This window comes from Homo sapiens, chromosome 2 (genome assembly GCF_000001405.40).
Source record: "Homo sapiens chromosome 2, GRCh38.p14 Primary Assembly".
NCBI classification, from domain to species: domain Eukaryota; kingdom Metazoa; phylum Chordata; class Mammalia; order Primates; family Hominidae; genus Homo; species Homo sapiens.
Window position 1 is genome coordinate 54519122 of NC_000002.12, and position 17740 is coordinate 54536861.

At 43.5% G+C, this 17740-nt stretch overlaps 1 protein-coding gene, 1 long non-coding RNA gene and 2 pseudogenes across 13 annotated transcripts in view, besides 1 other annotated feature; 3 read left to right on the plus strand and 1 right to left on the minus strand.

The window, feature by feature from the left end:
- The window catches only part of C9orf85P1 (C9orf85 pseudogene 1), a 36004-nt pseudogene extending 35006 nt beyond the window's left edge, over window positions 1-998 (plus strand).
- Window positions 1-17740, plus strand: part of SPTBN1 (spectrin beta, non-erythrocytic 1) — a 215120-nt gene that overhangs the window by 62795 nt on the left and 134585 nt on the right. For all 11 annotated transcript variants that reach the window (NM_003128.3, XM_017004781.2, XM_017004779.2 and 8 more), the window contains exon 2: window positions 7251-7445. In NM_003128.3, coding sequence (NP_003119.2) covers window positions 7298-7445 — 148 coding nt within the window. In that variant the 5' untranslated portion in view covers window positions 7251-7297. The remainder of the gene's footprint in view (window positions 1-7250; window positions 7446-17740) is intronic.
- Window positions 196-17740, minus strand: part of SPTBN1-AS1 (SPTBN1 antisense RNA 1) — a 39389-nt gene continuing 21844 nt past the window's right edge. Inside the window, exons 3-4 of the long non-coding RNA NR_185881.1 lie at window positions 15919-16017; window positions 196-1344 (exon numbers count right to left, since the gene is read on the minus strand). This is a non-coding gene — a long non-coding RNA (SPTBN1 antisense RNA 1). The remainder of the gene's footprint in view (window positions 1345-15918; window positions 16018-17740) is intronic.
- Window positions 5599-5768: an enhancer, noted in NCBI's record as "active region_15759". NCBI's record gives its function as "activates an Ori minimal core promoter by ATAC-STARR-seq in GM12878 lymphoblastoid cells {active_cell/tissue: GM12878}" and the evidence as "EXISTENCE:reporter gene assay evidence [ECO:0000049][PMID:35858748]".
- RPL23AP32 (ribosomal protein L23a pseudogene 32) lies at window positions 10101-10720 on the plus strand (annotated as a pseudogene). Its single transcript, NR_002229.2, has one exon. The product of NR_002229.2 is annotated as a ribosomal protein L23a pseudogene 32 (transcript).

Below are 17740 nucleotides of genomic sequence, written 5' to 3' on the forward strand. Positions count from 1 at the left end.
GCTCCAATTGACTTTGCCCCTGTGCTCTCACCTCCCAGTCCTCCCTCTGCCACCTGTCCAGGCAGCCCATTTAGAAACAAATAATTAGCAAGCACTTAATGTTACCAGGCACCCTGCTAGGAGTTATAAAGACAGAATGATGGGATCATGACCTCAAGAGGCCATGGCTTATTGATGGTAAGTAAATAGAAGGTTTGTAATTATGAAGCAGTCTTTTAATGATAGGTCAGCGGTGCATAAGGTGTCGGAGGGAGTGCATGTGGGCACTGTCTAAGGTTGTCTAATTCAGACCAGGTGGTGGTGGTGGTGAGTGATTTGAGGAGGTTCCTGGATGTAGTGATACCTGAGCTAGGATTTGCAGGAAGAGCAAAGAGCTGTTCCAGGTGATAGGTTTGGAACTGAGACAAGAACATGATTCTTCTCTCTCAGGAGTTGCAAGAGCTTAGGACATGGATAGTGGGACCAGGCTAGAGAGATGGGCAAGGTCCTCGTGAAGAATCTCATTTTCTCTCCTAAGGCTTCTTGGCATTATTCTGATGGCATTGGGAGCCATTTGGTAGATTTTAGTTTTTAGGGGGATAAAATAACTGGAATTACATTTTAGCACGGTCCCTCTGGTAGCATTGTAGGGGAATGGATTAGGGATTACAATGAGAGATGAGGAGCTGGAATGAGAAACTCCTGCTGGAACTAACTCATGAGATTTTCAGGAGGTACGAGTTACCTTAGGGCCACCCTGTGGAGCGAGAGGGAGAAATGAAAGGTGACTGCGAAGGTTTGTGTCTGGGGCGGCTAGGAGAAGTGGGGATGCCATTCAGCGAGGGAGTGGTGGAGGAGATGCAGGGCGTAGAGGTCGGGGCTGTGAGTTCGGTGTTCGACAGGCGGAGTTAGTGATTGTTAGGAGACACCTGCACCTTGCAGGGAGCAGCTGTCAGCACCGGGTAACCAGCAAAGACAGAGAAGTGGATGATGTCACCAAGGAAGATTTTGTAGAGTAACAGTAGAGGATGCTGGAAAGTAGCCTGGGGATTATTGTTTCTTCATAAAACAAAAACCTGCAAGTTTATCTGATAACCTGTGCGACTTAGATAATAAATGTGGTATCTTGGGAAGTAAGAGAACAGGTAAAGTATTTTCCCTCTGGGCTGTTCCAGGTATTGACTTTACGAACTTTAATCAATATAGAGGAGAACTAACAGAATACTTACAAAGCCTGGCATGGTAACATTCCAGTTTCTTTCCTAATGGTTATGACCTGTGGTAGCTCATGCCAGAGCTGTAGAAGCCTCTTTACCTCAAAGGTACAGGATGATAATTTCCACATCCATTTCTGCCTTGATCCACCTGTTTGAAGAAATGAATTTAGTGTCTGCTTATTGAAGCAGAAAATAATAAAGCATCTGGAATTTCTGTGCATCTTATGGAAAATTCCAGTTCATAGGATGTAGGATTAGAGAAGAGTAATTTGAGGGGGAGGATCTTGGCTTTTCTACATATTCCTTTTTATACATACACACACCCACACCCTACCCCATGCCACCCCACCCCCCACCCCACAATAGAGAAGAGCAGGGAAAGTAGATAGGCACTTTCCTATCTTTTTGAAACCTAGTCACAAAGAACATGGGCATTACCCTTGTCACACGCAGGGTATTACTGTTTTTATTCATTCAAAAGTTATTTAACGAGCTCCTACTGTGGTGAGCAAGTCCAGTGGAATCCAGGCCCTTGCTCTGCTATTAGAGGGATGAGGGCCTTTCTCTTCAAGGGGAGATTCCCTTTCCTTGTGTCAGCCTTACATAGTCCTTTCTGGGTTTCCTAATGGTGGAACCACCAGGCAGAGTTCCAAGATGGCCAAGCCTTCCTCCCTTCTCTTCCTAAACTTCCCACAGCTATTTAAGAAGTACAGATGACTTCACAGCCCACGGGAGGCATGGCCAATAGCACCTTGAGAAAACCCAGCCCTTTTTAGATAACCTCCTGGGACACCTGTATGTGTGATATAAACTGTCCTCACAGCTGGCCCTAGTCCCATGTGGAAGTGGGTTAGAGGATGATGATGTTTGTAGCATGCTGGAGTTTGGAGTCTCCATGCCATGGGCACACTCTTCCATACTGTTGCCCTCACTCTGACTTCTTCACCCTCACGTCACTCCCTTGCTGCTGTTGAGTGCCTAGAAGGGACCTTTCCATGATGGCTATGGTGGGAGCGAGGGATGTTTTGCCGTGAAATTGCCTTGAAAATAAAATAGTGGGTTCTATCACTGTAAATACTCAGCTTTCTTTGGACAAAGGACATTGTCTTTGAACAGATGGAGAATATTGAAGAAAAAAGATGTCTCTACCATCAAATTCTGGACACTTGAGTGAAACAGTTGAATAAAAAGAACTCAGAGCATTGCTTTTTTTTTGAGACGAGGCTCACTCTGTTGTTTGGGCTGGAGTGCAGTGACACGATCATGGCTCACTGCGGCCTTGACCTCTTGGGCTCAAGTGATCCTCCCACCTCAGCCTCCCAAGTAGCTGGGACTACGGGCACGTGCCACCGTGCCCGGCTAATTTTTATAGAGATAGTGAAGAAGGGTTGGGAGGGTGTCTCACCATCTTGCCCAGGTTGGTCTCAAACTCCTGGGCTCAAGTGATCTGGCCACCGTGGCCTCCCAAATTGTTGAGATTACAGGTGTGAGCCACTGTGCTTGGCATATATTTATTTATTTATTTTGTACACAGACTAGTGGATAATTTGGATACTTTGACTTCCCATTCACCTTTCTGTTTTTTGTTTTTTTCTTTTGAGACAGAGTCTGGCTGTGTCACCCAGGGTGGAGTGCAGTGGCACAGTTATGGTTCACTGCAACCTCCACCTCCCTGGCTCGAGTGGTCCTCCTACCTCAGCCTCCCAAGTAGCTGGAACCACAGGCGCATGCCACCACAGCTGGCTATTTTTTTTTTTTATTTTTGTGGAGATGGGGGTGTCACTGTGTTGTCCAGTCTGGTCTTTAACGCCTGGGCTCAAGTGATCTGCCTCCCTTGGCCTCCCAAAGTGCTGGGATTACAGGCGTGAGCCACCACTCTTGGCCTAACCTTTCCGTTTTAAGGAACAATAGTAGTGTTTTTAAGGAATACCATTAAGAAAGAACATTAGGAAAAAAGGTGCTTTAGTTCTCTGAGTGACTTCTTTTAAGCTTAAGACAAGAATTATCACTTACTTACTAAGTAATCTGTGGGCTGGGCAAGGTAGGCTCGCACCTGTAATCCCAGGACTTTGTGAGGCCAAAGCAAGCAGATTACCCGAGTTCAGGAGTTTGAGACTAGCCTGGCCAACATGGTGAAACCCCATTTCTACTAAAAATACAAAAATTAGTCAGGCATGATAGTGCACACCTGTAATTCCAGCTACTCAGGAGGGTGAGGCAGGAGAATTGCTTGAACCTGGGAGGTGGAGGTTGTAGTGAGCTGAGATCATGCCACTGCACTCCAGCCTGGGTGACAGAGCGAGACTCTGTCTCAAAAAGAAAGAAAGAAAGAGAGAGAGAAAGAGAGAGAGAGAGAGAGAGGAGAGAGAGAGAGAGAGAGAGAAAGAAAGAAAGGAAAGAAAGAAAGAAAGAAAGAAATCTGTGGAAAGCAGTTGTTGGTTCAGTGATAGAAAGAGAGATTCGCAGGTGGGGGCAGGGCAGGGGCCAGGCTGGGCTTCTGCAGGAGTCAGGTGCGGTGGATGTTGCAGCGCAGGTATAGCAGCCCTGGGGGTTTCTTCTCATTGGTCAGCAGGTGGCACCAAATAGCTAAAACTTATCTGGGGAGAGGCATGCCTTGCTTGGGTTTTACCTTGGGTTGGGTTGGATTAAATTTTACTTTCTGTACTTTCAGAATTTGGGATTAATAGCACTTTCACATTTTCTCCCTAGAGATAGAATCCTCCAAGTTTGAATTTTATAAAAGTCTCTGATATTGATAATAGTCATGAAAGTTAACTATATTCAAGATCAGATGATTGCATGACATTATTAATTTTCATTTTTTGGAAGGGTTTATGACTTTGAATGTTAAATGCCACTGTAAGATCATTCAATGGAATATACTTACTCGATTAGATTTCTGAAGTTTTTGTGTTTTTATGAAATCCCATAAATAAATTGCTAACGTAGGTGTGAAAATTAATACACCCGTGAATGTACTTAATTGAGATTGAGTATGTCTCTCTGATGAGAATCCAGGATTTTACTTCCATTCAGGATTTTTCTATTAGAGCAGAGATGGGTGACAGTTTGAGTCACAGATGTTGTGGCTCAGTGGTAAAGTGGATTCAGTGCTTCTTCCTCAGGAACATGTGGGGTGTGTTGGCTGTGTTCTTGGATAGCATGTGAGAAAACAGCCATGACAAAAGAGCAGGCAGTTGTGTGCTGGTACCACCCAAGAGCCTACTGTTTATTTAAGGTGCAGTTAATTTGTTTCAGCTTATTTACTATGGAAACTTGGTTGCATGTGGCATGTGTGGTTATGTGCTGGAACTTTTAAAAAGCTGCATTTCAAGCACGATAAATGTTTCTTTTCTACATATATGGGTTTGTTTATTTTTTGTGTGGTGGCATATGTGAGGGGGAAGAATCATCTCTTGAATGATCCTTCTGTGTTGCTGAGTGGTGTCTGGTTTGGTTAGCACGCAGGCTGTGGTGAGGAGGCCTGCTGACTCTGGCCTAGGTGCACATCTTGGTGCACACTGAACAAGGCTTTCACTAAGTGAGCATCCAGCTACAAAAACCTGACAATAAATTTTTGAGTTTTAAGATGTTGATAACAGCCGGGCATGGTGGCTCACGCCTGTAATCCCAGCACTTTGGGAGGCCAAGGTGGGCAGATCACAAGGTCTAGGAGTTCGAGACCAGCCTGGCCAATATAGTGAAACCCCGTCTCTACCAAAAATACAGAAATTAGCTGGGCATGGTGGCTCGCGCCTGTAGTCCCAGCTACTCGGGAGGCTGAGGCAGAAGAATTGCTTGAACCCAGGAGGCGGAGGCTGCAGTGAGCCGAGATGGTGCCACTGCACTCCAGCCTGGGTGACAGAGCGAAACTCCATCTCAAAAAAAAAAATGTTGATAATTTATTTTTTTTCTTGGGATAGCTTCATACCACTTTAAAAGGGGTGTTGTCTTTTCACTCCTTTCTTCCTACATTTGCAGATTAACAACTTACTTAGATAGCTTCATATGCCTGACTGAGCCTGTTTCCCCCCAGTGAAATTTAAAATATGCGGGAATTTAACCACATTTAACCACACCCATAGGCATCAGGCATAGCACTAGCTCAGTTTCTCAATGTCTCGGGTCTAGTCAGTCCTTCACCAGGCCCTGTCAGTTCTCCCTCCAAAGCACATCCACCTCTAAGCACATCCACCTCTTAACCATCCCCGCTTCTCCACCCAGAGCTGCACCGCCATCATTTCTGGAGTAGCCTCCCAAGTGGCCCCTGCTTCCATTATTGCCGCCTAGAATCTGTTTTCCACACAGCCCTGGGAAGAATATTTTACAAATACACTCAAGGGTGGTGTCGGTTATTAGCTTAAAATCCTGCAGTTGCTTCCCGCCACACTTGGGCTCGCCCACCTCCCTCCCTAACCTTGTCTCCGAGTCTCTCCCGCTGCCCACTAGACTCAGCCACATTGAACTTGCCGTTCCTCCTGCATGCTATGCTGCTTCCTTTGCCTGAAACACTATTATTCTTGATCTGTGCGTGACTCATTCCTCTTGACATTGAGTTCTCAGTTTCAGGACCCACTCGAGAGGCCTTCCCTGATCACCAGATCTAAAAATAGTCACATGACTCTGCTGTCATTTTTTTTTATTTAAACTATCTTGCCTTTTCTTGTGTGCTTTTTGTCCAGCTCCTACCACTAGGATATAAGCTTCCCTAGAGCCAGGTCCTTATTGCGTTCATTTTTATCCCTAGCATCTGGTCCAGCACAGAGTACGTAGTAAGTCTTCATTGTATTTTGGTTCAATGAGTGAATAATAGCTATATTGAAGGGAGAAGCTGTGTTTAAAGCTTATCAGTTCAGGATAAAGAATAGCAAGCGTGTATTGAGCATCTACCATGCACTGGTACTGTCCTTGGTTGCCATACACTTACATCTTAATTTTTTTTTTTTATTGGAGTTTTGCTCCTGTTGCCCAGGTTAGAGTGCAATGGTATGATGTCGGCTCAACCAAAACCTCCGGCTCCTCGGTTCAAGCAATTTTCCAGCCTTGGCCTCCCAAGTAGCTGGGATTATAGGCATGCGCCACCACGCCCAGCTAATTTTTTATTTTTAGTAGTGATGGGTTGGTCAGGCTGAACTGGAACTCCCGACCTCAGGTGATCCGCCCGCCTCAGCCTCCCAAAGTGCTGGGATTAGAGGCGTGAGTCACTGTGCCTGGCCTTACATCTTAATCTTAAGCATCAGTTTTCTAATATGTAAGTGAGATGTTTAGATAAAATGATCTGCTAGTTCTCTTATATAACATTTTATGAATTTCCAGGAGAAGCTTAAAGATTATAATTTATGGTGATACACAATGGGAATAAATGAGTTCATTCAGAAGCCCCACGTAGGTGTTGATCTACCTCCGATAACATTTCTTTTTTTTTCTTTTTGAGACGGAGTCTCGCTCTGTTGCCCAGGCAAGAGTGCAATGGCACGATATCGGCTCACTACAACCTCCGCCTCCCAGATTCGAGCAATTCTCCCTGCCTCAGCCACCCAAGTAGCTGGGATTACAGGCATGTGCCACCACGCCCAGCTAATTTTTGTATCTTTGGTAGAGACGGGTTTTCACCATGTTGGCCAGGCTGGCCTCGAACTCCTGACCTCAGGTGATCTGCCCACCTCGGCCTCCTAAAGTGCTGGAATTACAGGCGTGAGCCACTGCACCTGGCCCTCTGATAACATTTTTAAATTGCAGAGTTTAAACTTTAGAAAGAAGGAATAAACCCACCATTTTGGGGGTATCCATCATCTCATTCAGTCCTGTCAACAACCTCTGAAGTATCTTCCCTCTTTAATGGTTGGGGAAACTGAGGCTTAGAGATACTAAGTAACTTGGCTAAGGTCACACATCTATTATGAGACAGTGCTAAAACCTAAAACCAGCATTGCTCCAGAAGACCTATTCTTGGCAAGCACTGTTTTTATTTTCTGCTCACTCTTATCCCAGTTGGTTCCGTGGGGACTGTATACACTTCAGACGTCTAAATGTTTTTCCTTTTCTTTCTCATAGAACTCTAAGAAGGAGCTGATGTGGAGGAGCAGCTGAGACAGTTCAAGATGACGACCACAGTAGCCACAGACTATGACAACATTGAGATCCAGCAGCAGTACAGTGATGTCAACAACCGCTGGGATGTCGACGACTGGGACAATGAGAACAGCTCTGCGCGGCTTTTTGAGCGGTCCCGCATCAAGGCTCTGGCAGGTGAGTCCTTCACACCTGTCACAGAGGCCCAGGATGCCTAAAATCAGGATGCCCCTTAAAATCATCCACCCTGTTCCCATGACGCTGTCATGTTCGAAGGTTGTCTCACTTCTATTTAAATGTGTCCTTGAGAGCCAGCTGACCATTTTATAAGGTAGTCAGTTCCATATTTGGAGAGCTGTCAACTCTAATGGCCAAAATTATTCAGAGCACAGAGTGTTATTTATAGCAATTCAAGAACAGCTGCCCTAAGTTTGTAAGAATTCTTTTATTTTTGACAAATCTTACATTCCAAAATATCAAAGCATACTATTCCTTATACTCAAAAATATACAAATTAACCTGTGTACTTAGTGCCTGTGATACATTAACTGGCCTGACCTGTACCAAGATGGGTTAGTATTACACGCAAGGATTTTACATCTGAAAAGCAAAAGCTGAATCTGGTAAAGGCACATTTAATACAGTAACGAGTAAGTTTGCCATTGGTCCATTAGTTCGTGGAACATGTCCTTACTTTGTGATTTCTCATTCCCTTGTTGCTGGTGAACACCTAGAGCACACTTTCTCCATGGCCCCAGTGAGGGTGAGGAGTGTTTTACCCTAAAATTGCCCTGAAAATCAGGAAAGCGTTCTGTGGCTCTGAAAACTCAGCTGTACTGAATATATGTAAACCAAGTATCAAAACCGAGTTTTTTCAAGGTCCTGCATCTGTACTTTGAGATTTCAAATGAAATTTCAGATGAAGTTTATTCCAAATGATTTTTTTCTAATGTCTTTAATTGTGACAAGTAAATCAAAGTCATGACTTGAGAAGTTAAGTTTACTGTTAATTCTAACTACATAACTCACATTTTTGTTGCCTTTATAGTGGAATCTGATTATGAAGCATGCATCATTTAGAGTCATCTTGATTGTGGACAAAGGAAACCTAACCCAGAGTGGTTTAAGTGACAAAGAGGATTTATTGGTCACACAGTAGGCAAATTCAGTCTTTAAGCAAGACTTACTCCTGGACTTAAATGGTGTGACCAGGATCTAGTTTCTTTCTCTCTACTCTGGCTTTATTTTCTAGTGCAGGCTCTGTTCACAAGCAGGCTCCATCCTGTAGTCCCAAGATGGCTGCCCCAGGTCCCTGGCCCCCTTGGACTATGGACATCCAGCAGAAAAGAGGATGCTTTTCTGCTTACCATGGCCCGGATATATCAGTCTCACTGGCGTGATTGATCATGACTTGGATCATGTGCTTCTCCCGCTGGTGTTGGAGAATCTCATGTGCTGTTAACTTCTAAACAGGATGCACCCCTTAGAGTGAAAGTTTGGTCAGTCTCAACCAAACAAGTTGGCTAGAAAGATTGGAATATAACAGAAAAGAGGAAGAGGAGAATGGATGTTGGGGGTACAGCTAACAATGTACTACAGAAAAACTATTCAGCTGCTTTAGGATAATTTGTCTCTTGAGTGGTGTTGATTTAAAGATCTTTCTTGAGCTGGCCTGAATGAATGATTAATCAGTCACTCTAGAATTGGGGCTTCATTATCATTCATTAACATGGAACTCTATGGAGATCATGACCCTGGCTTGTGCTAGTAAAGTGATTTGTATTTTAATCTCTCACCTCTTTTTCTTGTATTTTCATTTGAGTCTTTAGGCCAGTATGCTAGTGATGGCCAGTTACCTTTGATCTTGAGTCTTACTTTCTGATTCCAGGCTATGTATTATCTCCTTTCTAAAGGACCATTTTGTTTGCAAACTACAGAACAGTTCCTTGTTCTTTGCATGTGGTCTTTCCTACAGTTTGAGAGGAGAGCCTCCAGCTGTCCTTAGTATCCATCATTTGTCTTAACCTTTCTAGGATGTTTACCTAGGTCCCTCAGTAACTGTAGTCATAATAATAGCAAGCACTCAATATAGTACTTATACTGTGTGCCAGGCACTGTGGGAAATGCCGGCATATATTAACAGTTAATCCCATAACAATCATATGAGAGAGATTATTACTGTCTACATTGTATAGATGATAAAACAGGTTCCAGAGAGATTAAGAAGCTTGCCCAAGGGCTTACTGCTGCTAAGTGGCTGAAGGCATACTAACTCTGCAGTGTATACTCTTTTTCAGTATTCAGTAAAGTAAAAAAAAAAAAAAAAGATGTAAAGCTCATTGGCAGAGAGCATTGCTAGTGAGGTAATTCAAACATGTTAAAAAGATCTTTGGAATTCTCAGGAATGCATCCTGTGGTCTAGAAGAAACCAGGGCAAAATATTGAAAAGGAAAGATGCTGCTTCCAGGTTAAATGATACTGGATGGGGGGGCAGGAATTGCATTCAGTGAATTTACAAGATACCAGGAAACCCATCTGTTGGAGGAAGGTAATGAAGGAAATTATCTTATCCTACTTATTATTTTACTTCCTTATTCTGTGGGACAGAAGAATCTCTTGAGTCCTCTAAAAAACTATATGCTGATAGCAGGAGTTACAGAACAATTCAGTAGTGTCTGGAATAGAACAGTGGTTTGAAAAGTAGAGGGCTTGTTAAAGCACGGGATGCTGATTCAGTAGGCCTTGAGTGGGGATAATTTACATATCCAACAGGCCAGGTGATGCCCTGGCTTGGGGATCACATTTTGTGACTGATGCAGAGTACTGATGGTCATCCAGTCCCCTTCCTTCGGTGTTTGAGACCACTTCATCTGGACCGAGCTAAAGTCTAGGAAGAAATAAAGTTTCAAACCCAGTAGAGTTACCTCAAAGATACACTTGAGACCCTTTTCAGAAGATGGCACCGAAAGTGAAGAAGGAAGCTCCTGGCCCGCCTAAAGCTGAAGCCAAAGCAAAGGCTTTAAAGGCCAAGAAGGTAGTGTTGAAAGGTGTCCACGGCCACAAAAAAAAGAAGATCCGCATGTCACCCACCTTCCAGCGGCCCAAGACACTGAGACTCTGGAGGCCGCCCAGATATCCTCGGAAGACCACCCCCAGGAGAAACAAGCTTGACCACTATGCTATCATCAAGTTTCCTCTGACCACTGAGTTTGCCATGAAGAAGATAAAAGACAACAACACCCTTGTGTTCACTGTGGATGTTAAAGCCAACAAGCACCAGATCAAACAGGCTGTGAAGAAGCTCTGTGACATTGATGGGGCCAAGGTCAACACCCTGATGGAGAGATGAAGGCATATGTTCCACTGGCTCCTGATTATGATGCTTTGGATGTTGCCAACAAAATTGGGATCATCCAAACTGAGTCCATCTGGCTAATTCTAAATATACATATCTCTTTTCACCAAAAAAAAAAAAAAAAAAAAAAAAAAAAAAAAGGTCCACTTGATGTGGGAGTGGTGTGGTAGGCTAACCACTTGACTTTGAGGAAAGGGAGATATCTTCCTGTCCCTTATAGGGGAGTGATACAGTGATAGGCCCAACAGGAGGGAGTGCTATTGTGGGGTTTCTGCTGAACATGCATGTTCTAAAGCGAGACATTTTGCTTAGAGCCATAAAAATGTACATATCACATTTCCTGTGTCCCTCTAGGGCTTTCGGTAGATACAATCTAATCTAGGTTTCAGTCTGAATTCTGAGGCAGATCTGCAAAACATGTAGGAATTCATCTTTTAATGGTGTAGTTCATCTTGTACTGATAGTGGAACCACCACCTGTGCCCTTTACTAAGCTGCTTTCAGGGTTTATGTATCTAAGGAAATAGGGTGAGGTAAACTACTTGTTACTAATTCTCACCCAGTTGACAGATACTTCCTATTATTAGGTTATCTGTGAATTGTAAAAAACTTTTTTTTTTTTTTTTTTTTTTTGAGACGGAGTCTTGCTCTGTCGTCCAGGCTGGAGTGCAGTGGTGCAATCTCGGCTCACTGCAAGCTCCACCTCCTGGCTTCATGCCATTCTGCTGCCTCAGCCTCTCAAGTAGCTGGGACTACAGGCGCCCGCCACCACCCCAGCTAATTTTTTGTATTTTTCGTAGAGACGGGGTTTCGCCGTGTTATCCAGGACGGTCTCGATCTCCTGACCTCATGATCTGCCCGCCTCGGCCTCCCAAAGTGCTGAGATTACAGGCATGAGCCACCGCGCCCGGCTTAAAAAACATTTTTAAAATAACTTTTACTTTACGTGTCTTCATCTTATTCACCCTCAGGAATTGCTTTTAATTCAATGCAGTATAATAAGAAATATATTTGGTCTTTGTTCTGGGTTCCTGGCATAGAGCTCCTAAAACCAATGGAGTCTGCCGAGTGATGGGAGTGTCTTTTGTTACCCATAAGGTGTCCCTTTTCTGACACCTGAGTTTGTGCTAATTCCATGACTTTGGGTGGGGATAGTCTCCCATCCCTAGCTAGCCTCAGGATGATGCTGTGCACCCAAGACTGAGCAGTTAGAGAATTGGAACTTTCAGCATCATCCACTCATCTGTGGGGGGAGTTGGTGTAGGTAGGGTGGGGTGCCCTGAGAGGACATGGAAGCCCCACCTCACCCCAGTACCTTGCCCTGTGCACTTTTCCATTTGGCCGTTCCTGAGTTGTAACCTTTATAATAAATTGGTAAACATAAAGGGGAAATTGTTTTCCTGAGTTCTGTGAGTTGTTCTAGCATATTATTGAACCTGAGGGGGTTCTTGGGAACCCCTGAATTTACAGCCTGCGGCCTGGGACTTGGAACTGGCATCTGATATGGGGGCAGTCTTGTGGGACCAAGCCCTTTATCCTATGGGATTTAACAATAATGTCAGGTAGAGGTGTCAGAATTGAATTGAATTGTAGCATACCCAGTTGGTACTGGGGAATCAGACTACTAAGATATTTCACAGGGGAGATAGCATCTCTAGTATAGTAGGCAGGGTGTCAGCTGGTTTTCTTGTTTGTTTAGAAATGGGGTCTTTCTGTGTTGCTCAGGCTAGAGTACAGTGGTAGAGTCATAGCTAACTACAGCCTTGAATTCCTGATCTCCAGTGATCCTCCTGCCTCAGCCTCTTGAGTAGCTGGGACTATAAGTGTGTGCCACAAAGCCTGGCTATATCGGTTTTTGTTTTTTGTTTTTTTTTTTTAATGTAGAAATCAGGCCTGTGATCACTTGTCCAGTACCAGCTTATCATTACAACAATGAATCGGCCAGCAATCAGTCACTTCCAGTGCCTAGTTCTTTCATTTTCCTTAAACTCTGCTGCTTGAAAATCAGTCTGATTCATATCTGCGTCACTCATCGCCACCCCCAGCTCCTTAGTAGCCAGAAACATCAGCGTGATGATCAGGAGGAAATACAGAGAACTTGACCTGGAGCACCTGGCAGGATTGAAAGCAACAGCTTTTTCTCCAAGCAGAGAAAAGCTTCATCTGAAAGCTTCCCCCTCATGCAAGTTGAATGATAAGAAACCTCAAGTCTTCAGCTTGTAAAAATTTAAGACTTAGATGTGTTTTAAGAAAATAATTAGAATTGCCGGGCGCAGTGGCTCACGTTTGTAATCTCAACACTTTGGGAGGCCGAGGCTGGTGGATCATGAGGTCAGGCGTTCAAAACCAGCCTGGCCAACGTAGCGAAACCCCATCTCTGCTAAAAATACAAAAAATTAGCTGGGCGTGGTGGCGGGCGCCTATAATCCCAGCTAGTTGGGAGGCTGAGACAGGAGAATCGGTTGAACCTGGGAGGCGGAGGTTGCAGTGAGCCGAGATCACGCCACTGCACTCCAGCCCGGGCGACAGTATGAGACTCCGTCTCAAAAATAATAATAGTTAGAATTAACATTGAGTATTGTCATATACTCCAAAATTTTATGTTTATATCCAAGAATATTTATAGATATCCAAAATATATTAACATGCAATCCTCATGAAAAGTTATTAATGAGACACTTTACATTTTTTATACTACGTCTTTGAAATATACATCTTTTGTATATGTAACAGACTGGCAAGATATATACTTATTCCTAAAGTGGAATGTGGAGTGAAAACATGGTAGATGGTACTTCCCCACTTCTGAGGTGTTACTGTTTACAGTTTGGAAGGAAGCTGAGGAGAGCGTTGGTCAATCCTGTTAACTAGCACAGTGAAGTAGTTTTTATGTTTTCTGTAAATGATTGCTTGCATCCCGTGATTGCAGGCCCACTTTCCTGACCTCTGACCAGTTGCCTTGGTATCATGGAACATGCAGTGATTCAAACTAAGCTGGACTTTTTGGAAACCAGCATTTTATTTGAAGTAAAAAGAAAACAGTTACACAATTTTTTAAAGACTACGTCTTCCCCTAATTTGTGTTGATTCTACTGTGAGACAAGAAAAATGCATTTCTGCTTGAGGTGCAGTAACAAAACTAGCACAAATTTCTTTCCTTCTTAACTATTTCTCGGATAGAAGATTCATTCTTAACATAGACCTTATCATTATAGGATTTTTTTTTCTTTTCTTGTTGAGAACTTTTACTTTTTCACTTAAAGGAAGCATTTGACAGTCGCTTCTTTTTAGCATATCTGAATTGCCAGCCCAGGGCCATTATTAAGTCAAATAAGGGTTACCTGACAGTTAATCTGATAATCAAGACGGCTGCTAAGTGACTAACAGGGAGCGTCTGCAGTGTGTGTCTGCTGGACAAAGGGATGATTCACATACCAGGCGGGATGGAGCGAGATGGCGCAAGATTTCATCACAGTGCTCAGGATGGCATGCAATTTAAAACGTATGAATTGCCTATTTCTTCAGTTTTTCATTTCATATTTCCAGACCATGGTTGACTGAAGGTAACTGAACCATGGAAAGTGAAACCCAGGCTAAAGGGGACTAGTGTGTGTGTGTGTGTGTGTGTGTGTGTGTGTGTGTGTGTGTGTGTCTAAACCATTTGACTTCTAGTGAACGAACAGAGCCAACCTCTTCCTGAATATGTAAAGAAATCTATAAAACATGGCCTAGAATGATCTAATTAGGAGGAGGAAACCTATTTACATGAGACTATATATGTATACAAGTGCCTGGAAGTTAGTATAGGCAATGATTGCTGTAGTAAGATGGAGTTTCGCTCTTGTCACCCAGGCTGTAGTACGATGGCGCGATCTTGGCTCACTGCAACCTCCGCCTCCTGGGTCCAAGTGATTCTCCTGCCTCAGCTTCCCGAGTAGCTGGGACTACAGGCACCCGCCACCACACCTGGCTAATTTTTGTATTTTTAGTAGAGACGGGGTTTCACCATGTTGGCCAGGCTGGTCTCGAACTCCTGACCCCAGGTGATCCGCCCGCCTTGGCCTCCCAAAGTGCTGGGATTACAGGCGTGAGCCTCCACGCCCGGCCTGCTGTAGTAATTTAGGGGGAAAGATTGATCTCTCTCTCTGTCTCTCTCTCACACACACACACACACACACACACACGCACGCACGCACACAAACACACACACCCCAGTCATTTTAAGGGGTAGGGTCTAGTGACCTAAAGAGCACTGGAACTTGGAGAGAGGAATCTGGGACCTGAGTCTCGTCGTGGCTGCTTCATTTTCCACTGCAGCAAAATTGAAGAGGCTAGGCTGCAGGTCTCTGAGAACACCTCTCCTTAAAACAGAAAGTCTGCTTTGGGCTGCTTAAGATAGTATATGCCATCTCACGCCTGGACTCATTGTCTAAATCATGTTAGGGCTCTTCTTGTTCGCACACCTAACATTCTGTTCAGAGGTGACACTTTCCTGCCCCAAGGGAAAGAGAACAGCTTCTTGCATGGTGGAATGGGTTTTTACAGAGAGGATTAACAGGGATTTAATAGCTACCCATTATTTTCCTCATCTACTCTTCAGGCTGTATCCCTAAATTATGCATTATTTGGGACTATTTGTGAAAGAGGTGTGGCCCCTAGCACACAGTAACTATACTACCATTGTTTGTGAAATCTGAATCTGAAAGAGCATTTTATATCCAAGTTGTTCATGAAAGCTATTGAGAGAAAGTCTGTTGAGGTCTTTGCACGTAGTCCTAGATTATACCCTCAATTTATTTTTCACATATAAATGGTTTCCATGGTTTTCTCACCATAGAGGTGGAAGAATCTTTGCTTTACTTTTTTAGGTGTAGTTTTCCTCTGGTTCCTTCTCCCTCCTCTGTCTGTTCACCACTATAGACCCAGTTTCTCCCCTGCTTCTGAAATCAGCTTGGATTCCTTCTCCTGTTCTACCTCAGACTCTCTTCTCACCTCAGCAATGGCTGAAATCTCACAGTCGCTGAGGTGAGTGATCCAGGCATGGGAGAACATGCAGATGGAAGCCTCGTGCTCCCAGAGTTTCTGACTATTCACCATGCACTCATCCCCCTTCCTGGCCCAGCCCCTATTCCTGCACCTCACTCTTTGAGAGCCCAGGTTCTCCTTCCTCAGTCACCTCAGAGAACCTCTCTTGATCCTCATTCCCCTTTTTGTCTCCTGTTCCACCCCTAGCCTTTGTCTGAACTCCTCATTCTCTCCACTCCACCAGAATTCTTTCCCTAAGTCACTCACTTACTTTTGAGGCGCTCCGTTCTTCTGTGAAAAATCTCATAGAATTGAGAGTTGATTTATGACTGAATTAAAGGAATACAATTGCTCTTCATTTGGGGACTGCCTGTGTAAGCAAAAGAGGAAAAATGTATGTGACCTTTCTGCCTTCTTATCCTTTTCCTGGCTCTGTCTGCATACATGTTCTCTCACACACACATATCAGCTTTATTGCAGTACAATTTACATACCATAAAATATACCCCCTTTGAAGTATACCATTCAGCAGTTTTTAAAATATACTCAGAGTTATGTGACAATTACCACTAATTCCAGAGCATTTTTATTACTTCCCAAAGAAATCCCATGTACGTTAGCGGTTACTTCCCATTTTCCTTTCCCCCAGCCCCAGGCAACTACTAGTCTACATTCAGACCCTATGGATTTGCCTATTCTGGACATTTCCTAAAAATTGAATCATGTAATCTGTGGCCTTTTTGTGTCTAACTTCTTTCACTTAACAAAACTTTTTCAGGTTTCATCCGTGCTGTAGCATGTATCAGTACCTTATTTCTGTCTCTGCTCTCTTAGATAAGTAATAGTGGTAGATTAGAGAGAAAGAGCAGAAAATACTCTGTAAAAGCTACTAGTACCATAGTGCTGTGATTTTTATTTGGTGGTTGCCTGGAAACAGATGGCAAATCTGTTGTAGGCATCAGAAACTACTGTAGGCCAGATGCAGTGGCTCACACCTGTAATCCCAGCCAAGGCAAGTGGATCACCTGAGATCAGGAGTTCATGACCAGCCTGGCCAACATGGTAAAAACCCATCTCTACTAAAAATACAAAATGAGCCGGATGTGGTGGTGCACACCTGTTACATGTGAGTAACCACCTATTCAGGAGGCTGAGACAGGAGAATCACTTGAATCTGGGAGGCGGAAGTTGCAGTGAGCCAAGATTGCGCCATTGCACTCCAGCCTGGCTGGGTGACAAGAGCAAGACTCTGTCTCAAAAATAGAGTAAGTACTGTAGACTTAGGAAGTTTTTCATTTCCCCAAATGTGGTCATCATAAAGGCCTATTGGTGGGTGTTTGGTGTCTCAGATGGTTCTATTTGTTGCCGTTATTAAATTCACTTACACAGTTAACCCCTTTGCCAGTTTTCTACCAAAGTGGACCTGTGAGAAAGTACTATCATAGGATGATAAAAGGTATAAATTTAATTTATATATAAGGCACTTGTAAAGTTATGTGTATTTTAAAAATAAAACATGTCCCATGATAAAAGCAAACTCAGAATGACACAAAGTATATTTTTAAATTTAACAGTGCAACGCAGCTCTCTAGAATTTTATTTAACCTCCATCTTCAGTGATACCATTCAATTTAATTTTCTAATTAGGAGAGAAAATTGATGCTAGGTAGATGTTAAATAGTTTCTTAAGTTGCATTTGATTTTTGATACCAAGTCAATTAAAGAAGATAGTTGTGATTATTAAGCTATAAATTCACCAGTAGTTTGACATGATCATATTCAATAGCAGTCCAGTGGAGAGGGGTCCAGGTGACAGCAGAGCTAAATATTTGGTCTATGTCTAATGATTGACTTCTGAAAAAAATCATGCTTAGAAAATTATTTTTGGTTAGGTCCTTCTGGTTGTAAGGAATACAGATTCACTTGAGTTCTCTGAACAACAAAGATATGTGTGTGGTGGATATGGGGTAAAAGAAGGAGAGGCCGGGAGCTGTGGTTCATGCCTGTTATCCCAGCACTTTGGGAGGCTGAGGTGGGAGGATTGTTTGAGTCCAGTAGTTAAAGACCAGCCTGGCCAACATAGTGAGACCCTG